Source organism: Homo sapiens, chromosome 7 (assembly GCF_000001405.40).
Source record: "Homo sapiens chromosome 7, GRCh38.p14 Primary Assembly".
NCBI classification, from domain to species: domain Eukaryota; kingdom Metazoa; phylum Chordata; class Mammalia; order Primates; family Hominidae; genus Homo; species Homo sapiens.
This window is the reverse complement of record NC_000007.14, coordinates 62,341,852-62,363,433: the sequence shown is the minus strand read 5'-3', so window position 1 is coordinate 62,363,433 and position 21,582 is coordinate 62,341,852. Positions and strand designations below refer to the sequence as shown.

Sequence of the window (21,582 nt, the reverse complement as noted above, 5' to 3'; positions counted from 1 at the left end):
ATGAGCAATAGAGATGTGACAGGCATGGAAAAAGACAGTACATTTATCAAACAAATAGGGCCATGGATGACGATAATGGGGATCAAATCTTGAGATACCGACTCAGTTTATAACCACACTGTATAATAGAGCAAATCATTTGTTAACTTTTTTACAAATGGAATTTAATTTAATTAAGATGAATACAGTGTTTTAAATAAGGCAGGTCTTCTTAAAATAAAATAATGGAATAAAGTGATAAAACCAAAGTAAAAATCGTAAACATTTTATAAATAATTTTTGTCATGTAACTTAATATTTTTGTTCATTTAAAATCACCCAAATCAAAATAATTTTATCTTAATTAACAAATAATCATCAGAAGTTTAACTAATTTTTACTTTATGAAACTAGGTTTAAAAATTATTAACTATATTTTTAATCACATATGCTTCTATATAAAATAGACATAGGATATATATTTACATGTTCACAATATTATATTGTAATTGCTCCTATGGATGTGGTTTTTCAATAGAATTAATAAGTACTTTTAAAAAGTTTCCATTTCAATGATGTATATGATTGATTTTTCTTAGACAAAGCATACATATATTGATAGGTAATAATATGAAAATCTTCTAAAGGCATTACAGGAATACGAAAATGTAATTAAATACTCACTAGTTTCTAATGTTTTATGTAAGCGGAACACTTTTAACTGAAAATTGCTTTTATATTAATACTGAAACGAGACTAAAAACTTTTTAACCAGTGGAGTAACTATTCAAATTGATAATCTGAACTATATAAGAGGAGAAACTTCAGGCACTCTAATATTTGAAATGCTACAAAATATTTATATAAGCTATTATTTCACAATTTCTGTTTGTAGAGTGCTATACAGTAATCAATATAAACGACATCCCAAATCTTTCTATAGCTTTGACCACATTTACATCCTAATTTTAATTATTAATACGTTGGAGCAGTGCATACAACTAGATTCTGATCTTCCTTTTTAATGAGTAAAAATATGCCCTTTGAGACAGCATTAAAGAAAGAGCACCTTGTATAAATTCAATGCCAAGAGACAAGATATTCTTGATTCTGAAGTCTTGTTCTTTCATACAGCAATGTAATTAATAAGAAGAAAAGCAGGACATAGATGTGGAGCCTATTTTAATAAAAAATTGTCTATAGATTTTGATGATAAAATTTAAAAATCTACTATATTTAGTTACAAAAAACTAGGTTGTGGGAACATATTTGGTCAATAAAACACCCCTACCAAGTGCTGACAAGAAAAAATGTTAGGTACCACCTTTCTTCTCTGCAGATGGCCTGAGATGGGTTAATTTGAAAGAACGCTTCCAAACCTGAGGTGACCCCTGAGAACAGCATAACCCACTGCTGTCTCCCACATTCAGTTTCTCAGTTTGTGCTCTTTTAATTTTGCGGGGAGGGAAGCCAGACCTTTAAACCAATCTTCAGCATGATGGCAGAGCCAAGGAGTGTGGACAGGTGGCACGGTGTCTGACTTTGTTCCAGCAGCCACTTGGGCTTTCTCTGGATCTTCTCTGCCCTAGGGATAGCACCACTATTGAAAACATATCTTTGTGACATTCTCTATGCCAGGAACTCCCAACACATTTTCCTTGAAACTGATGAAATGAACAAAAATAAACCAAGAGGTGTGCTGTTTGTTTCTTTTTCCTCCTTTCTGCAGCTCTTCTTGATCATCTAATATTTTTAAATACATTGTCGATCACCAAAAGGAGCATAAGGGGTATATTGATTTGTAGCAGATGTATTAATAGCCCAGCCCCTATTCCTTACCTGTAGCTGCTGGGAAGAAAACCATTCTTAACACTCTACAGAGTGTCATCTCCAGAATTTGCAGCTGTTTCTAGCTGAGGACTTTCTCTAGCAGCACGGGAGTTTGATACTGGGCATGAAGTGGGAAGAAAAGGTGAGGGTAACTAAGAAGAATCTCCCTGGATTCAGTGATGTAATTCTGAGGCATCTTCCACATAGCTACCCATAGAATTAAGCCCAGATATCTAACGCAGGATCTTGCCTCTTAACACGTGTGGTATTGGCTTTTCTATCTTTCCTGTTTTATTTTGTTCTCTCTTCCTTGTCTTACTTTCACTGTGTCCTCACTCCTGCTTTAAGAATACCCAAACAAATACATTCATTTATTTTTTTAGAGTCTCAGAACACAGTTGTTTGTTGAATTTGTAATCTATGATAATCAGCTTGGATGCTATACTTACAGGAAGATAGTGAACTCACAATGTCTAATTAAGATAAAATTAAAAAGTATATTGATTCATGTCCAAAGATTTAAAAAACCTAAGCGGCAGTGTCACAATTTCGTTTTTAGTTTACATAGTTTCTTAAATGCCTACAATTGTTTTAAAAGAAACCTTGAATCTAGGAAAAATTGAGGCATATGGAATAAATTACTAACCCATTTCTCCTTGAAATCCATAAGATGATTGATGATTTTTCAAATATATTTCTGAATTGAAAAACTAGTTGCTAATTATTTTTATAAACATATCCTTATGCAATATTTTGTTTCCTGCAGTGAATTGAAGGTTTAAAGATTAAATTATTCTATCCAGAGAATAAAAAGCAATTATTTCACAAGGAGAACATGGGTACTTTGACACGACATCTTAAAGTCTAGATTTTAAAATAGGTCCCATACACTTTTGTGTCAATTAGAATACGTTTGTATCAGTCTGTCTACAGTTTTACACCTGTCTAAATGTACTTGAACTACAACAACTACCTTGAACAGTTTTGAAATTTATGATTCCTCTGAAACTGATTAAAAGAATTATGGTAGAGTGAAATTCTGATTGACATAATTTGGGAGAGAAATTATTCCTTGGGGATCAACCTCTGCCAAGATAGTTTATAATGACATTGAGGCTTCTTGATTTACACAATTTGTTATATAAAAAAATACTAAGATGATGGCAGATAATACACAGACTTTAATTAAAATTGTACTACAATTAATAATCTAAATAAATTAGAAGTGTACATGGTACGTCTAAATGTATGTTTATATATTTTATTTGTGCATTTTTTTCCTAGGGTTTCTTTTGCTTTAGTTTGTAAAACGTTCTCATTTTTATGATAATGTAGCATATGCTAAATAAAGAAAAATCAGGAAATAGAAAATGAAGAAGAAAACATTAGCTATTGTCAACCAAATAAAAATTGTGCAATCTCTAAGCACATGAACTATGTAATATTTGTACAGCATAGTACAATATTTATGCTTCACAGGGTGAGGTAGGGACCGCCAAACCTTGAACTTGGGACAAATAAGAAAGTAAGGAAATTTTCACAACTTATTAATATTACAGAAAATGCTGAACTTAACAGTTAAGATACAAGTAGTGAAAAATGATAGTATTTAAGGAGATCTAGAAAATTTAATCTATACCTGTAATGTGTGAGAAGTATTAGAATAATGCTTGTATTTCTGGATTGGCATCGATTTCTATTGAGACTGGAAACATAATAGAAGTGAGCAAAAAAGAATTTAAATTGTGGATACTTGAGTTTTATACCTAGGAGTTCGAGAAATACATTTTATTACTATCAAAGCAGTTGGCACAAGAGTGTACAAAATTCCCTAATTGTGTCTATGTGGAGAAGACATAGACAAACAGAGAATAGCAAAACTGAAATAGCAAAAAAGCACAAATAAATTTTACCTGTATTTTTAGGTAGAAGCCAATTAGAGAAGGAAAACATGAAATTTGTGTTTTATCAAAATTTTTCTCTTTCTCATAATATAGTTGAATATATTACTGGAAAAAATTTGAAGCACTGGTATGTTCACAAATAAAAGTAAAATATAATGGCAAAACAATGGGAATGCAGGGAGCAGACAAAATATAACTAAACACCGAAACTGATTTTGCCCTACGGACATGTAGCAAAATGAATGAGTGCAGATTCCTACTGTCATACATCACATAGGAGAGTAAAGAAATACATAGATTTTCCCAAGATAGGGCATCACACAGGAGCTCCTCCCTAAAGCTAGGACCAAAATTTATATCCTCAGTATAAAGAAGAATCAGAGGTAAATTAGTCCCATTTCACATTCCCTGGAAATGGCAAATAAAAATGACTTGAGATTGGACAGATTTAAAGAAACTCAATCGTTAATGATTTACAGCAACTAATTTAAAAATTGTTTAAATGTGCAGTCCAAACATACGTCCGAACACCTTTAGGCCAAGAATTAACATAATGTGGTCCCAGAATGGTGGTGTCTTTAGTAGAATCACAAAACAATTGAAATTCTCTTTGGCAAATTTCCTATTTACTAATCCGCAAAAGTGCACAAAAATAATTTTTAGAGACAAATAAATATTTGTCATTCAAAGGCATCTAAGTATGCAAGGAAATGATATTCCACCATTTGAAAGGAAAGCAGAAAAAGAGTACAAACAGATCCACAAACGTTCATTAGTAGAAATATCACTGTTAGATTATAAAGCACATTTGCTTTCAAAAAATTTTTTAAAAAATGAATATATTGTTAGGAGACTATGATGATGATTCCTTTCGAGCCAATTCGATGATTCCCTTCGAGTACCTTCAATGATGCCATTACATTCCATTCGATGATGATTCCATTCGAGTCCATTAAATGATTCCATTCGGTTGAATTCAATTATTCCATTCGATTTCATTCGATGATGATTCCATTCTAATCCGTTCGATGTTTCCATTTGATTCCATTCGAGGATGATTCCATTCGACTCCATTTGATGATTCCATTTGATTCCATTTCATGATGATTCCATTTGATTCCTTTCTTTGATGATTCCATTCTATTACTTTCGATGATGATTCCATTTGAGTCCATTTGATGGTTCCATTCAATTCTATGTGATGATGATTCCTTTCGAGGCCATTCGATGATTCCTTTTGAGTCCATTGGATGATTCTATTTGAGTCTGTTCTATGATTCCATTCGATTTCATTCGATAATGATTGCATTCTGGGCCATTTGATGATTCCATTCAAGTCCATTTGGTGATTCCCTTCAATTCTATTCGAAAAGGACTCCATTCGAGTCCATTAGATGATTCCATTCAATTCCATTTGATGATGATTCCATTCGAGTCTATTCAAAGACTCTATTGAAGTCCATTTGATGATTCCATTCAATTCCACTTGATGATGATTCCTTTCGAGTCCGTTCGTTGATTACTTTCGATTCCATTCAATGATGATTACACTCTCTTCCATTCATTGATGATTCCATTCGATTGCATTCGAGGACTCCATTCGATTCCATTTGATAATGATTCCATTCGTGTCCATTTGATGATTCCATTAGTTTCTTTTCTATGATGATTCCATTTGAGGCCATTCGATGATTCCATGTGATTCCAGTCGATGATGATTCCATATGAGGCCATTCAATGATTTCATGCAATTCCAGTCGATGATTATTACATTCGATTCCATTCAATGATTCCTTTCGATTTGACTTGATGATGATTCCATTCGATTCCATTCGATGATTCCATTCAATTTCGTTCGATGATTATTCCATTCGAGTCCATTCAATGATTCCATTGGATTCCGTTCGATGATGATTCCATTAGAGTTCATTCGATGATTCCATTCGAGTCCATTCTATTATTCCTTTTGATTCCATTTGATTCCAATGATTCCATTCGATTCCATTCGATGATTCCATTCCATTCGATTTGATGATGATTCCATTCTATAATGATTACATTCGAGTCCATGTGATGATTCCATTAGATTCTATTCGATGATGATTCCATTCGAGGCCATTCGATGATGGCATTCGAACCGATTCGACGGTTTCACTCGATTCCACTTGGTGATGATTCCTTTTGAGTCCATTCGATGATTCCTTTCGCGTCCATGAGATGATTCCATTCGATTCCATTTAATGATGATTCAATTCGAGGCCATTCGATGATTCCATTCAAGTCCATTCGGTGATACCCTTTGATTCCATTCGATGAGGGCTCCATTCGAGTCCATTTGATGATTCCATTAGGTTCCATTCGATGATGATTCCATTTGAGTCCATTCAAAGATTCCTTTCGAGTCCATTCAATGATGCTGTTGGATTCCACTTGATGATGATTCCTTTCGAGTCCATTCGATGATTCCTTTCAAGTGCTTTCAATGATTCCATTCAATTCCATTCGATGATGATTCAATTCGAGTCCATTCAATGATTCCATTCTGTTGAATTTGATGTTTCCATTCGATTCCATTCAATGATGATTCCATTCGAGTCCATTGGATGATTCCATTTGATTCCTTTCAAAGATTACTCCATTCTACTCCATTCGATGATTTCATTCGATTTCATTCCATGATGATTCCATTTGATTCCATTCGATGATTCCATTCGATACCATTCGATGATGATTCCATTAGAGTCCATTTGATGAATCCATTCAATGATTCCATTCGAGTCCATTCGATGATTCCATTCGATTCCATTAGATGAAGATTCCATTCGAGTACATTCCATGATTCCATTTAATTCCATTTGATGATGATTCCATTCGAGTCCATTCGATGATTCCATTCGATTCCATTCGATGATTATTCCATTCGAGTCTGTAGATTATTCAATTCAATTCCATTCGAAGATTCCATTCGAGTCCATTCAATGATTCTATTCGATTCCATTTGATAATTCTATTTGATTCCATTTGATGTTGATTCCATTCGAGTCCATTCAATCATTATTCCATTTGATTCTATTCGATGATTCCATTCAATTCCATTTGATGAGGATTCCATTCGAGACCATTCAATGATTACATTCAATTCATTCGATGATGATTACATTCAATTCCATTAGATGATACCAATAGATTCCATTAGATGATGATTTCATTCGATTCCTTTCGATGATGATTCCATCAGAATCCATTAAATGATGACTCCTTTCAGTTCCATTCGATTATGATTCCATTTGGTCCCATTCAATGATGATTCCTTTGGATTCCATTCAATGATGCTTACATTCAAATTCATTTGATGATGATTCTTTTCGATTCCATTCGATGATGATTCCATTTGATTCCATTCGATGATGATTCCGTTTGATTCCATTCGATGATTCCATTCGATTCCATTCAATGATGATTCCTTTCGTGTTCATTGATCATTCCATTCTATTCCATTCGATGAATCCATTCGAGTCCATTCAATGATTCTATTTGATTCCATTCAATAATTCCTTTCGATTCCATTTGATGATGATTCCATTCGAGTCCATTCGATGATTATTCCATTCGATTCTTTTCAATGGATACTTTCGTTTCCATTTGATAATAATTCCATTCGAGACCATTCGATGATTTCATTCAATTTATTCGATGATGATTCCGTTCAATTCCATTCGATGATTCCATTAGATTCCATTTGATGATTCCATTCGATTTCATTCAATAATGATTCCATGCAATTCCATTCGATAATGACCCCTTTCGTTTCCATTCGATGACGATTCCATTCTGTTCCATTCAATGATGATTCCTTTGGATTCCATTCAATAATGATTCCATTCCACTCCATTTGACGTTAATTCATTTCGATTCCATTCGATGATGATTCCATTTGATTCCATTCGATGATGATTCCATTTGATTCCATTCGATGATGATTCCATTTGATTCCATTCGATGATGATTCCATTCGATTCCATTTCATTGATTCCATTCGATTCCATATGAAGATGATTCCTTTCTAGTCCATTCAGTGATGATTCAATTCGATTCCATTGGTTGATTCCATTCGATTCCTTTCGATGATTATTCCATTCGAGTCCATTCGGTGATTCCTTTTTATGCCAATTGAAGATTATTCCATTCGATTCCATTCGATGGTACCATTCGATACCATTCAATGATGACTCCATTAGAGTGCATTCAATGATACCATTTGGTTCCATTTGATGATGATTCCATTCGATTCCATTCGATGATTCCATTCAATTCCATTCTATGATGATTCCATTCGAGTCCACTTGATGATTCCACTGGACTCCATTTGATGATGATTCCATACTATGATTCCATTCGATTCTATTCTATGATGATTCCATTCGATATTGTTCGATGCTGATTCCATTTAATTCCATTCGATGATTCCATTCTATGATACCATTCGATTCTATTCTATGATGATTCCATTCAATATATTTCAATGCTGATTCAATTCAATTCCATTCGATGATTCCACTTGATTCCATTCGATTATTCCATTCGATTATACTCGACGATGATTCCATTCACTTCCGTTCGATGATTCCATTCGTTTCTATTCAATGATGATTCCACTTGATTCCATTTGATGATGACTGCATTCGATTCCATTGGATGATTCCATTTGATTCCATTCGATGATGATTCTGATCAATTGCATTCAATAATTCCATTTGATTCCATTTGATGATTCCATTTGATTCCATTCGATAATGATTCCATTTGAGGATATTTGATAATTCCATTTGAGTCCCATTGATGATTCCATTTGACACCATTCGATCATTCCATTTGAGTACATTCGATAGTGATTTCATTAGAGTCCATTCGATAATTCCATTGGAGTCCATTCGATGATTGCTTTTAATTCCATTCGATGATATTCCATTCGAGTCCATTCGATGATTCCATTTGATGCTATTAGATGATGATTCCATTCGTGTCCATTTGGTGATTCCATTAGATTTCATTCGATGATGATTCCATTCGAGTCCATTCAATGATTCCATTCAAGTCCATTTGATGATACCTTTCAATTCCATTTGATGATCATTCCATTCGAGTCCATTCAATGATTCCATTGGGTTCAATTCGATGATGATTACATTGGATTCCATTCTATGATTCCATTCGATTCTGTTCATTGATGATTCGATTCCATTCGATGATGATTCCATTTGATTTCATTCGATGATTCTATTCGATTCCATGCGATGCTGATTCAATTCTATTATATTGGATGATTCCATTCGATTCCATTCGATGATGATTCCATTCGATTCCATTCGATGATGATTCCATTCGATTCCATTCGATGTTGACTCCATTCGATTCTATTCGTTGATGATTCCATTCGAGTTCATTCAATTATTCTATTTGATTCCATTTGATAATGATTCAATTCTCTTCCATTGGATGATTCCATTTTATTCCATTCAATGATGACTCCATTCGATTTCATTCGATGATGATTCCATTTGATGATTCCATTTGATTCCATTTGACGGTGAGCAATTCGATTCAATTCCGTGATGATTCTATTTGATTCAATTAGATGATGTTTCCATTCGATTCCATTCGATGATGATTCCATTGGATTCCATTCGATAATGTTTCCATTCGAGTTCATTCAATGATGATTCCATACGAGTCCGTTTGATGATGATTCCATTCGATTTCATTCGATGCTTCTATTCGATTCCATTCAATGATGATTCTGTCTGATTCCATTCTATGATTCCATTCGATTCCATTCGATGCTTGTATTCAATTTCATTTGATAATGATTCCATTCGATTCCATTCAATAATTCCATTTGATTCCATTCCTTGATGATCCCATTCGAGTCCATTCGATGATTCCATTTGAGTCCCTTCATTGATTCCATCCGATTCCATTTGATGATGATTCCATTCGAGTGCATTCGATGATTCCGTTCGATTCCATTCTATGATTCCATTCGAGTCCATTCGATTATTCCATTGGAGTCCATTGGATGATTCCATTCGATTCTGTTCAGTGATGATTCCATTTGATTCCATCTGATGATGATTTCATTTGATTCCATTCAATGATGATTCCATTCGAGTACATTGAATGATTCAGTTCGATTCCATTCGATGCTGTTTCCATTCGAATCCGTTCGATTATTCCATTCAACTCCCTTCGATGATTCCATCCGATTCCATTTGATGATGATTCCATTCGAGTTCAATCGATGATTCCGTTCAGTTCCATTTAATGATTCCATTCGAGTCCATTAAATTATTACATTCCTGTCCATTTGACGATTTCATTCGATTACATTCAATGATGATTCCATTTGATTCCATTTGATGATTCCGTTCGATTCTTTTCAATGATTCCCTACAATTCCTTTCAATGATCATTCCATTTGATTCCATTCATTGATGATTCCATTCAATTACATTCGATGATGATTCCTTTTGATTCCCTGTGTTGATGATTCCATTAGATTCCATTTGATGATAATTCCATTCGATTCCATTCGAAGATGATTCCATTCGATTTCATTCGATGGTTCCATTCGATTCCATTAGATGATGAATCCATTCGATTCCATTCGATGATTCCATTCAATGATTCCATTCGATTCCATTTGATGATGAGCCATTCGATTCAATTCCATGATGATTCCATTTGATTCAATTCGATGATGTTTCCATTTGATTCCATTGGATGATGATTCAACTTGATTCCATTCCACTATGTTTCCATTCGAGTCCATTCGATGATGATTCCATTCGATTCTGTTCGCCTATGATTCTGCTTGATTTCATTCAATGCTTCTATTTGATTCCATTCGATGATGATTCCATCTCATTCCCTTCGATGATTCCATTTGATTCCATTCAGTGATGATTCCATTCATGTCCATTCGATGATTCCATTAGATTTCATTTGACGATCATTCCACTCGAGTCCATTTGATGATTCCATTCAATTACATTTGATGGTGACTCCATTCGAGTACATTTGATGATTCCATTTGATCCCATTTGATGATGATTACATTCGATTCCATTCGAAGACGATTCCATTCAATTCCATTCTATGATGATTCCATATAAATCCATTCGATGATTATTCCATTTGATTCCATTCGTTGACGATTCCATTTGATTCTATTCGATGATGATTCTCTTCTATTCCATTTGATGATTCCGGTCGATTCCATTCGAAGAGGATTCCATTCGTGTCCATTCAGTTGTGGCATTCGATTCCCTTTGATGATGATTCCATTAGATTCCACTCGATTATGATTCCTTATGAATCAGTTCGATGATTATTCCATTTGATTCTTTTCGATGACGATTCTATTTGATTCCATTCGATTCCATTCAGTGATTCTCTTCTATTACATTTGATGATTCCTTTCGATTCTATTCGATGATGATTCTTTTGAGTCCATTCGATGATTCTATTCCATTCCATTTGATGATGATTCCATTTGAGTCCATTCGATAATTCCATCCGACTCAATTCGTTGATGATTCAATTCGATGTCATTCGATGACTCTGTTCAATTTCATTTGATGATGATTCCATTCAATTCCATTTGATGATTCCATTCGATTCCCTTCAATGATGATTACATTCGAGTCCATTTGATTATTCCATTCCTTTCCATTCGATGATGATTCCATTCGTGTCTATTCGAAGATTCCATTCAATTCCATTTAATGATGATTCCATATGATTCCATTAGATGATTGTTGCTATCGATTCCATTCGGTGATTCCATTTGATTCCATTAGATGATTATTCCGTTAGATTCCATTGGATGATTACATTCGATTTTATTCGATGATTCCATTCGATTCCACTCAATGATGATTCCTTTAGATTCCATTCGATGATTCCTTTCGAGTCCATTCGATGATTCCATTCGAGTCCATATGATGATTCCCTTCTTTTCCATTCGATGATGATTCCATTAGGGTCCATTCAATGATTCCATTCGAGTCCATTCGATAATTCCTTTCAAGTCCTTTTGATCACTCCATTCGAGTCCATTCAATGATTCTATTCGATTCCATTCGATCATGATTCCATTCGAGTCCATTTGATGATTGCATTTGAGTCCATTTAATGATTCCATATAACTCCATTCGACAATGATTCCATTCATGTCCATTTGATGATTCCATTCATTTCCATTCAATGATGATTCCATTCGAGTGTATTCGATGATTCCATTCAAATACATTTGATGATGATTCCATTTGAGTCCATTTGATCATTCCACTTGATTCCATTCGATGACTATTCTATTCGAATCCATTCGATCATTCCATTCGATTCCATTCGATGATACCATTCGAATACATTTGATGATTCCTCTCGATTCCATGGGATGATTATTCCATTGGAGTCCACTTAGTGATTCCTTTAGATTCCACTCGAAGATGATTCCATTCGATTCCATTCGATGATACCATTCAATTCCATTCGTTGATCATTCCATTCAAGTGCATTCGATGATATCATTTGATTCCATTTGATGATTCCATTTGAGTCAAATCGATGATTCCATTGGAATCCATTTGATGATTATTCCATTCGAGTCAATTTGATGATTCTATTGGACTCCATTTGATGATGATTCCATTCAGTGTTTCCATTTGATTCTATCCCATAATGATTCCATTGGATTCCATTCGATGATTCCATTCTATTCTATTCAATGATGATTCCATTTGATTCCATTCGATGATGACTGGATTCAATTCCATTCGATGATTTCATTTGATTCCATTCGATGATGATTCCGATCAATTCCATTCAATGATTCCATTCGAATCCATTCCATAGTGATTACATTCTAATCCATTTGATGATTCCATTTGAGCCCTTTCGATAATTCCAATTGAGTCCTATCGATGATTGCATTCATTTCCATTCAGTGATTCCATTCGAGTCCATTCGATCATTCCGTTAGGGTCCATTCGATGATGATTCCATTGGAGTGCATTCGATGATTCCATTCGAGTCCATTTTAGGATTCAATTCGAGTCCTTTCGATGGTTCATTCGATTCCATTCAATGATGATTCCATTTGAGTCCATTCGACGTTTCCAATCAATTCCCTTTGATGATTCCATTCGAGTCCAATTGATGATTCCATTCAATTTCATTCCATGATGATTCAGTACGATTACATTCGGTGATGATTCCATGTGATTGCATTCAATGATGATTCCTTTCGATTCCATTCGATTATGATTCATTTCGTGTTCATTCAATGGTTCCACAGGTTTCCATTCGATGATGATTCCATTCGAGTCCATTCCATGATTCCATTCTATTCCATTCGATGATGATTCCATTGGATTCCATTCATTGATGATTCCACTCAATTCCATTCAATGATTCCATTCCATTCCTTTTGACAATGATTCCATTAGATTCCATTCGATGATTCCACTTGATTCCATTTGACGATGCTTCCACTCATGTCCATTCGATGATTCCATTCGATTCCATACGATGATGATTACATTCGAGTCTATTCAATGATGATTCCATTCAATTCCATTCGATGATTCCATTCGTTTCCATTCGATGATGATTGCATTCGATACCTTTCGATGATTCCCTTCAATTCCATTCAAAGTTGATTCCATTCGAGTCCATTTGATAATTCCATTCGATTCCATTCCATGATGATTCCGATCGAGTCCATTTGATGATTCAATTCAACTCCAGTCTGTGATGATTCCATTCGATTCCATTCAATGATTCCATTGGATTACATTCGAATCCATTCGATGATTCCATTCGAGTCCATTTGATCATGTTTCCATTCGAGTTCATTCGATGATTCCATTCTGTTCCATTCAATCATAATTCCATTCGAGTCCATTCGATGATTCCATTGTATTCCATTTGATGATTATTCCATTTGTGTCCATTCGGTGATTGCATTCGAGTCCATTCAATGATTCCATTTGATTCCATTCAATGATGATTCCATTCGATCATGAGCCATTCGATTCAATTTCATGATGATTCCATTTGATTCAATTCGACGATGTTTCCATTCAGTTCCATTCGATGATGATTCCATTCGAATGCATTCGACGATGATTCCATTCGAGTCCATTCGATGATGATTCCATTCAAGTCCATTCGTTGATGATTCCATTTGATTTCATTTGATGCTTCTCTTCGATTCCATTCAATGATGATTCCATCTGATTCTGTTTGATGACTCCATTCCATTCCATTCAGTGATGATTCCATTCGCTTCAATCTGATGATGATTTCATCTGATTTCATTAGATGATAATTCCATTTGATTGCATTCAATGACGATTCCAATCAAGTCCATTCGAAGACTCCATTCGATTCCATTTGATGATGATTCCGTTCGTGTCCATTTGACAATTACATTCCATTCCACTTGATGATGATTCCATTCTATGCCATACGATGATTCCATACGAGTCCATTCGATGATGATTCCATACGAGTCCATTCAATGATTCCGCTAGATTGAATTCGATGATGATTCCACTCGAGTCCCTTCAATGATTCCATTCGATTCCATTGGATGATCCCTTTCGATTCCATTTGATGATTCCATTCGATTCTATTCGATGATCATTCCATTTGACTCCATTTGATGATTCCATTCGATTACATTCATTGATGATTCCATGTGATAACATTTGATGATGATTCCATTTGATTCCAGTCGATGACGATTCCGTTTTAATGCAGTTGATGATGACTCCATTCGAATACATATGATGATTCCATTCGATTCCAGTCGATGACGATTCCGTTTGAATGCAGTTGATGATGACTCCATTCGAATCCATATGATGATTCCATTCGATTCCATTCGATGATTCTGTTAGCTCCCATTCGATGATTCCCTTTGATTCCATTCGATGAGCATTCCATTCAAATCAGTGATACCATTCGATTCCATTGGATGATGATTCCATTTGATTCCATTCCATGATGACTCCATTCGGTTCCATGTGATGATGATTCCATTAGTTTCCATTCAATGATTCCATGCGATTCCATTTGTTGATCATTCCATTCGATTCCATTTGGTGATGATTCCATTAGATTCCATTCGATGATGATTCCATTCAATTTCATTCGATGATTCTATTTGGTTGCATTCGATGATGATTCCCTTCTATTGTATTCGATGATTGCATTCGATTCTATTCTATGATGATTCTTTTCGATTCCTTTTGATGATGATTCCATTTGATTCCATTCGATGATGATTCTGATCAATTCCATTCAATGATTCTATTCGATTCCTTTTGATGATTCCATTTGATTCCATTTGATAATGATTCCATTCGAGTACATTTGATGATTCCATTCAAGTCCATTTGATGATTCCATTCTTTTCCATTTGATGATGATTCCATTAGGGTCCATTCGATGATTGCATTCGAGTCCATTCAATGATTCCATGTGATTCCATTCGAAAATGATTCCATTCATGTCCATTTGATGATTGCATTCATTTCCATTTGATGATGATTCCATTCGAGTGTATTCGATGAATCCATTCAAATCCATTTGATGATGATTCCATTTGAGTCCATTTGATCATTCCACTTGATTCCATTTGATGACTATTCCATTCGAATCCATTCAATGATTCCATTCGATTCCATTTGATGATACCATTCGAGTACATTCAATGATTCCACTCAATTCCATGGGATGATTATTCCATTGGAGTCCACTTAGTGAATCCTTTAGATTCCACTCAAAGATGATTCCATTCGATTCCATTCTATGATACCATTCAATTCCATTCGTTGATGATTCCATTCAAGTGCATTCGATGATATCATTCGATTCCATTTGATGATGATTCCTTTCGATTCCATTCGATGATTCCATTGGAATCCATTTGATGATGATTCCATTCGAGTCAATTTGATGATTCCATTGGACTCCATTTGATGATGATACCATTCAATGATTCCATTCGATTCTATTCGTTAATGATTCCATTCAATTCCATTCCATGATAATTCCATTGGATTCCATTCAATAATTCCATTCGATTCCATTCGACGATGATTCCATTCGATTCCATTCGATGATTCCATTCTATTCTATTTGATGATGATTCCATTCGATTCCATTCGATGTTGATTCCATTCGAATCCATTCAATAATTCCATTCGATTTTATTTAAAGATGATTCCATTCGATTCCATTTGATGATGACTGCATTAATTTCCATTCGATGATTCCATTTGATTCCATTCGATGACGATTCTGATTGATTCCATTCGATGATTCTGTTTGATTCCTTTCAATGATTCCATTTGATTCCATTTGATAATAATTCCATTCGAGTCCATTCGATATTTCCATTTGAGCCCATTTGATAATTCCATTTGGGTCCAATTGATGATTCCATTCGAGTCCATTCGATCATTCCATTTGAGTCCATTCGATGATGATTCCATTCGAGTCCATTCAATTATTCCATTCAAGTCCATTCGATAATTCCATTTGAATCCATTATATGATAATTCCATTCGAGTCAGTTCCATGATGATTCCATTTGAGTCCATTCGATGATTCCATTCAATTCCACTCAATGATGATTCCATTCGATGATTCCATTGGATTCCATTCAATGATGATTCCATTCGAATCCATTCGATGATTCCATTTGAGTCCATTCGATGATGATTCCATTCGAGTTCATTAGATGATTCCATTCTGTTCTATTCAATAATAATTCCACTGGAGTCCATTCGATGATTCCATTCTCTTCCATTCGATGATTATTCCATTCGAGTCCATTCGGTTATTGCATTTGAGTCCATTCAATTTTTCCATTTGATTCCATTGATGATGACTCCATTCGATTCCATTCGATGATTACATTCCATTCCACTTGATGATGAGTCCATTCTATGCCATTCGATGATTCTCTTTGATTCTATTTGATGATGATAAAATTCTATTCCATTGGATGATTCCATTCGATTCCATTCGATGATGATTCCATTCGATTCCATTTGAGGATGATTCCATTCGATTGCATTCGATGAAGATTTCAGTCGAGTCCATTCATAGATTCCATTCGATACCATTCGATTATAATTCCATTAAAGTCCATTAGATGATTCCATTCCATTCCATTCGATGATGATTCCATTAGATGCCATTCGATGATTCCATTCGATCCCATTTGATGATGGTTTCATTCAAGTCCTTTCGATGATTCCATTAGATTCCATTTGACAATGATTCCATTCGAGTCCATTTGATGATTCCATTCGATTCCATTTGATGAAGATTCCATTCGAGCCCATTCGAAGACTCCATATGATGATGATTCCACTCGAGTCCATTCGATGATTCCATTCGGGTCCATTTGAAGATTCCATATGATGATGATTCCACTCGAGTCCATTCGATTATTCCATTCGAGTCCATTTGATTATTCCCTTAGATTCCATTCATTGATGATGCTATTCGTTGCCATTCGATGATTCCATTTGACTGCATTCGATGATGTTTCCATTCAAGTCCATTCAATGATTCCTCTTGAGTCCATTAAATGACACCATTCGATTCAATTCGATGATGATTCCATTAGAGTCCATTCGATGATGATTCCATTCGAGTCCATTCAATGATTCCATTCGGTTCCATTTGATTATTATTCCATGGGATTCCATTAGATGAATCCATTCGATTCTACTTGTTGATGATTCCATTTGATACCATTCGATGATTCCATTCGATTCTCTTAACTGATGATTCCAGTAGATTCCATTCGATGATGACTCCATTCGCCTCCATTCGATGGTGATTCCATTCGATTTCATTCGATGGTTCCATTCGATTCCTTTTGATGATGATTCCATTTGATTCTATTCGATGATTCCATTTGATGCCATTCAATGATGATTCCATTTGATTCCATTCGATGATGATTCCATTCGATGGTGATTCCATTCGGGTCCATTCGATGATTCTACTCAATTCCATATGATGATGATTCTGTTCGATTCCATTCGATGATTCCATTCTATTCCATTCAATGATGATTCCATTCGAGTACATTAGATGATTCCATTCGGTTCCATTAGATGATGATTCTATTCGTGCCCATTAGTTTATTTCAAAGGATTCCATTCGATGATGATTCTGTTTGAGTCTATTCGAAGATTCCATTCGATTCCATTCGATGATGATTTCATTCGATTCCATTCATTGGTGATTCCATTCAATTTAATTCACTGATTCCGTTCGATTCCATTTGACAATGATTCCATTCGATTGCATTTGAAGATTCCACTCGATTCCACTTGATGATGATTCACTTCTATTCCATTCGATGATTCCACTAGATTCCATTAGATGATGATTGCCTTCGATTCCATTCAATGATTCTATTTGATTCCATTCGTTGATGATACCGTTCGATTCCATTTGATGATTCCATTATTTTCTATTTGAGGATTCCATACGATTCCATCTGATTATGATTCTATTTGAGTCCATTCGATGATTTCATTCGAGTCCATTCAATGATTCCATTCGAGTCCATTTGATGATTCCATTTGATTCCATTTGATGATGATTTCATTAGAGTCCGTTCAATGACTCCATTCGAGTCCATTCAGTGATTCCATTCAATTCCATTTGATGATTCCATTCGCATCCATTTGATCATTATATTCGAGTCCATTCAGTGATTACATTGGATTTCTTTTGATGATGATCATATTCGATTCCATTCGATGATGATTCCAGTCGAATCCATTCAATGATTCCATTCGATTCCATTCAATGATGATTCCATTCGTGTCCATTCGATGATCCTTTTCAAGTCCCTTCTTTGATTCCATCCGATTCCATTTGATGATGATTCCATTCATGTCCATTCGATGATTCCATTCCCTTCCATTCGATGATAATTCCATTCGAGTCCATTTGATGATGATTCCATTTGATTCTGTTAAATGATTCCATTCGATTTCATTCGATGATTCCCTTTGATTCCTTTCCTTGATGATTCCATTCCATTCCATTTGATGATTCCATTCGATTTTATTCCCTAATGTTTCCTTTCGATTCCATTTGCTGATGATTCCATTCGATTCCATTCGATGATAATTTCATTCGAGTCCATTAGATGACGACTATATTCGATTCCATTGATGATGATTCCAACGGATTCCATTTGATTTCTCCATTCGTTTCCATTCGTTGATCATTCCATTAGATTCTATTACATGATGATTCCATTCGATTCCATTCGATGACAATTCCATTCCATTCCGTTCAATGATGATTCCATTCGATGCTTCCATTCGATTCCATTCGATGATTCCTTTGTATTCCATTCTTTGTTTTACTTCGATTCTTTTTGATGGTGATTCCATTCGATTCCATTCAATGGTTCCTTTGTGTTACATTCTTTGTTTTACTTCGATTCTTTTGATGATGATTCCATTCGATTTCATTCAATGATCCCAATCGTTTCTCTTCTATGATGATTCCACTCGATTCCATTTGAAGAAAATTCCATTCGATTCCATTGGATGATGATTCCATTTGATTCTATTCGATGCCGATTCTATTTGGTTCCATTCGATGATGATTCCACTCGATTTCACTCAAAGACTCCATTCAATTCCAGTCGATGATGATTCCATTCGATTCCATTCGATGATGATTCCATTCGAGACCAATAGATGATTCCATTCAATTCCATTCAATGATGATTCGATTTGAGTCCATTAAATGATGACTCCATTCGAGTCCATTCAATGATGATTCCATTCGATTCCATTAGATTATTCCTTTGTATTCCATTCTTTGTTTTACTTCGATTCTTTCGATGGTGATTCCATTCGATTTCATTCGATGATCCCATTTGATTCTCTTCGATGATGATTCCATTCAATTCCATTTGAAGAAAATTCTATTCGATTCCATTAGATGATGATTCCATTCGATTCTATTCGATACCGATTCTATTCGGTTCCATTCGATGATGATTCCATTCGATTTCACTCGATGATTCCATTCAAATCCATTCGATGATGATTCCATTCGAGTCCATTCTATGATTCCATTCAATTCCATTCAATGATGATTCCATTCGAGTCCATTCGATGATTCCATTCAAGGCCATTCGATGATTCCATCTGATTCCATTCGATGATGATTCCATTCGAGTCCATTCGATGATTCCATTTGATTCCATTCCTTCATGATTCCATTCAAGCCCAGTCGATGATTGCATTCGAATCCATTTGATGATTCCATTCGATTCCATTCAGTGATGATTTCATTCGATTATTTTCAATGATTCCATTTGATTCCATTCGATGATGATTCCAAACAATTCCATTCATTGATTCCATTAGAATCCATTCGATGATGAGTCCATTCATTTCAATTACATGATGATTCCATTCGATTCAATTCGATGGTTTTTCCATTCGATTCCATTCGATGTTGATTGCATTCGATTCCATTGGATGATGATTCCATTGGAGTCCATTTGATGATGATTCTATTCAAGTCCATTCAATGATGATTCCATTCAATTTCTTTCAATGATTCTATTCTATTCTATTCAATGATGATTCCATCTCATTCCATTCAATAAATCCATTCGATTCCATTCTATGATGATTCCATTCGTTTCCATTCGATGATGATTCTATTCGATTCCATTCAATGATTCCATTCGATTACACTTGATCATGACTCCAATCAATTCCTTTCAATGATTCCATTGGAATCCATTTGATGATGAGTCCATTCGTTTCAATTCCATGATGATTCCATTCAATTCATTTCGATGGTGTCTCCATTTGATTCCATTCGATGTTGATTTCTTTTGATTATATTTTATGATGATTGCATTCGAGTCCATTCGATGATGATTCCATTTGAGTCCATTCGATGATGATTCCATTTGATTTCATTTGATGATTCTATTCTATTCCATTCATTGATGATTCCATCTGATTCCATTCTATGATTCCATTTGATTCCATTCGAAGATGATTCCATTGGAATCCATTCGATGATTCCAAGCAATTCCATTCAATGAGTCCTTTAGATCCCATTTGACGAATCCCTTTGATTCCATTCGATGATCATTCCATTTGATTCAATTCGGTGATTCCATTCGATTCTATTAAATTATGATTCCATTCAACTCCATTCGATGATTTTTCCATTCGAATCCATGCGATTATGATTTAATTAAATTCCATTCAATTATGATTCTGTTCGAGTCCATTCGATGTATACATTCGATTCCATTCCATGATGATTTCACTCAAGTCCACTCGATGATTCCACTCGATTCCATTCAATGATGCCATTAGATTCCATTCGATCATGATTCCATTGGATGGCATTCGATGATTCCATTCAATTCCATTCAATGATGATTCCATTTGTGTCCATTCGATGATTCCATTCGATTCCATTCAATGATGATTCCATTTGTGACCATTCGATGATTCCATTCGATTCCATTCGATGATGATCCCATTCGAGTACATTCAATGATTCCATTCAAGTCCATTTGATGATTCCTTTCAATGCCATTCAATGATGATTCCATTCGAGTGCATTCGATGATTCCATTCGATTCCACCAAAAGATAACTCCATTCAAGTCGATTAGATGATTCCATTTGATTCCATGTGATGATGATTCCATCGAGTCCATTTGATGATACCATTTGATTCCATTCGATGCTGAGTGCATTCAGTTCCAT

General features: G+C 35.0%; 6 annotated features.

Moving 5' to 3' along the window:
* Positions 12,500-13,000: an enhancer, noted in NCBI's record as "OCT4-NANOG-H3K27ac hESC enhancer chr7:61794685-61795185 (GRCh37/hg19 assembly coordinates)". NCBI's record gives its function as "activates a minimal SCP1, AML or CMV promoter by ChIP-STARR-seq in naive H9 embryonic stem cells {active_cell/tissue: H9 hESC(naive)}" and the evidence as "EXISTENCE:reporter gene assay evidence [ECO:0000049][PMID:30033119]".
* Positions 13,001-13,501: an enhancer, noted in NCBI's record as "OCT4-NANOG-H3K27ac hESC enhancer chr7:61794184-61794684 (GRCh37/hg19 assembly coordinates)". NCBI's record gives its function as "activates a minimal SCP1, AML or CMV promoter by ChIP-STARR-seq in naive H9 embryonic stem cells {active_cell/tissue: H9 hESC(naive)}" and the evidence as "EXISTENCE:reporter gene assay evidence [ECO:0000049][PMID:30033119]".
* Positions 16,758-17,452: an enhancer, noted in NCBI's record as "OCT4-NANOG hESC enhancer chr7:61790233-61790927 (GRCh37/hg19 assembly coordinates)". NCBI's record gives its function as "activates a minimal SCP1, AML or CMV promoter by ChIP-STARR-seq in naive H9 embryonic stem cells {active_cell/tissue: H9 hESC(naive)}" and the evidence as "EXISTENCE:reporter gene assay evidence [ECO:0000049][PMID:30033119]".
* Positions 19,599-20,220: an enhancer, noted in NCBI's record as "OCT4-NANOG hESC enhancer chr7:61787465-61788086 (GRCh37/hg19 assembly coordinates)". NCBI's record gives its function as "activates a minimal SCP1, AML or CMV promoter by ChIP-STARR-seq in naive and primed H9 embryonic stem cells {active_cell/tissue: H9 hESC(naive and primed)}" and the evidence as "EXISTENCE:reporter gene assay evidence [ECO:0000049][PMID:30033119]".
* Positions 20,221-20,843: an enhancer, noted in NCBI's record as "OCT4-NANOG hESC enhancer chr7:61786842-61787464 (GRCh37/hg19 assembly coordinates)". NCBI's record gives its function as "activates a minimal SCP1, AML or CMV promoter by ChIP-STARR-seq in primed H9 embryonic stem cells {active_cell/tissue: H9 hESC(primed)}" and the evidence as "EXISTENCE:reporter gene assay evidence [ECO:0000049][PMID:30033119]".
* Positions 20,844-21,466: an enhancer, noted in NCBI's record as "OCT4-NANOG hESC enhancer chr7:61786219-61786841 (GRCh37/hg19 assembly coordinates)". NCBI's record gives its function as "activates a minimal SCP1, AML or CMV promoter by ChIP-STARR-seq in primed H9 embryonic stem cells {active_cell/tissue: H9 hESC(primed)}" and the evidence as "EXISTENCE:reporter gene assay evidence [ECO:0000049][PMID:30033119]".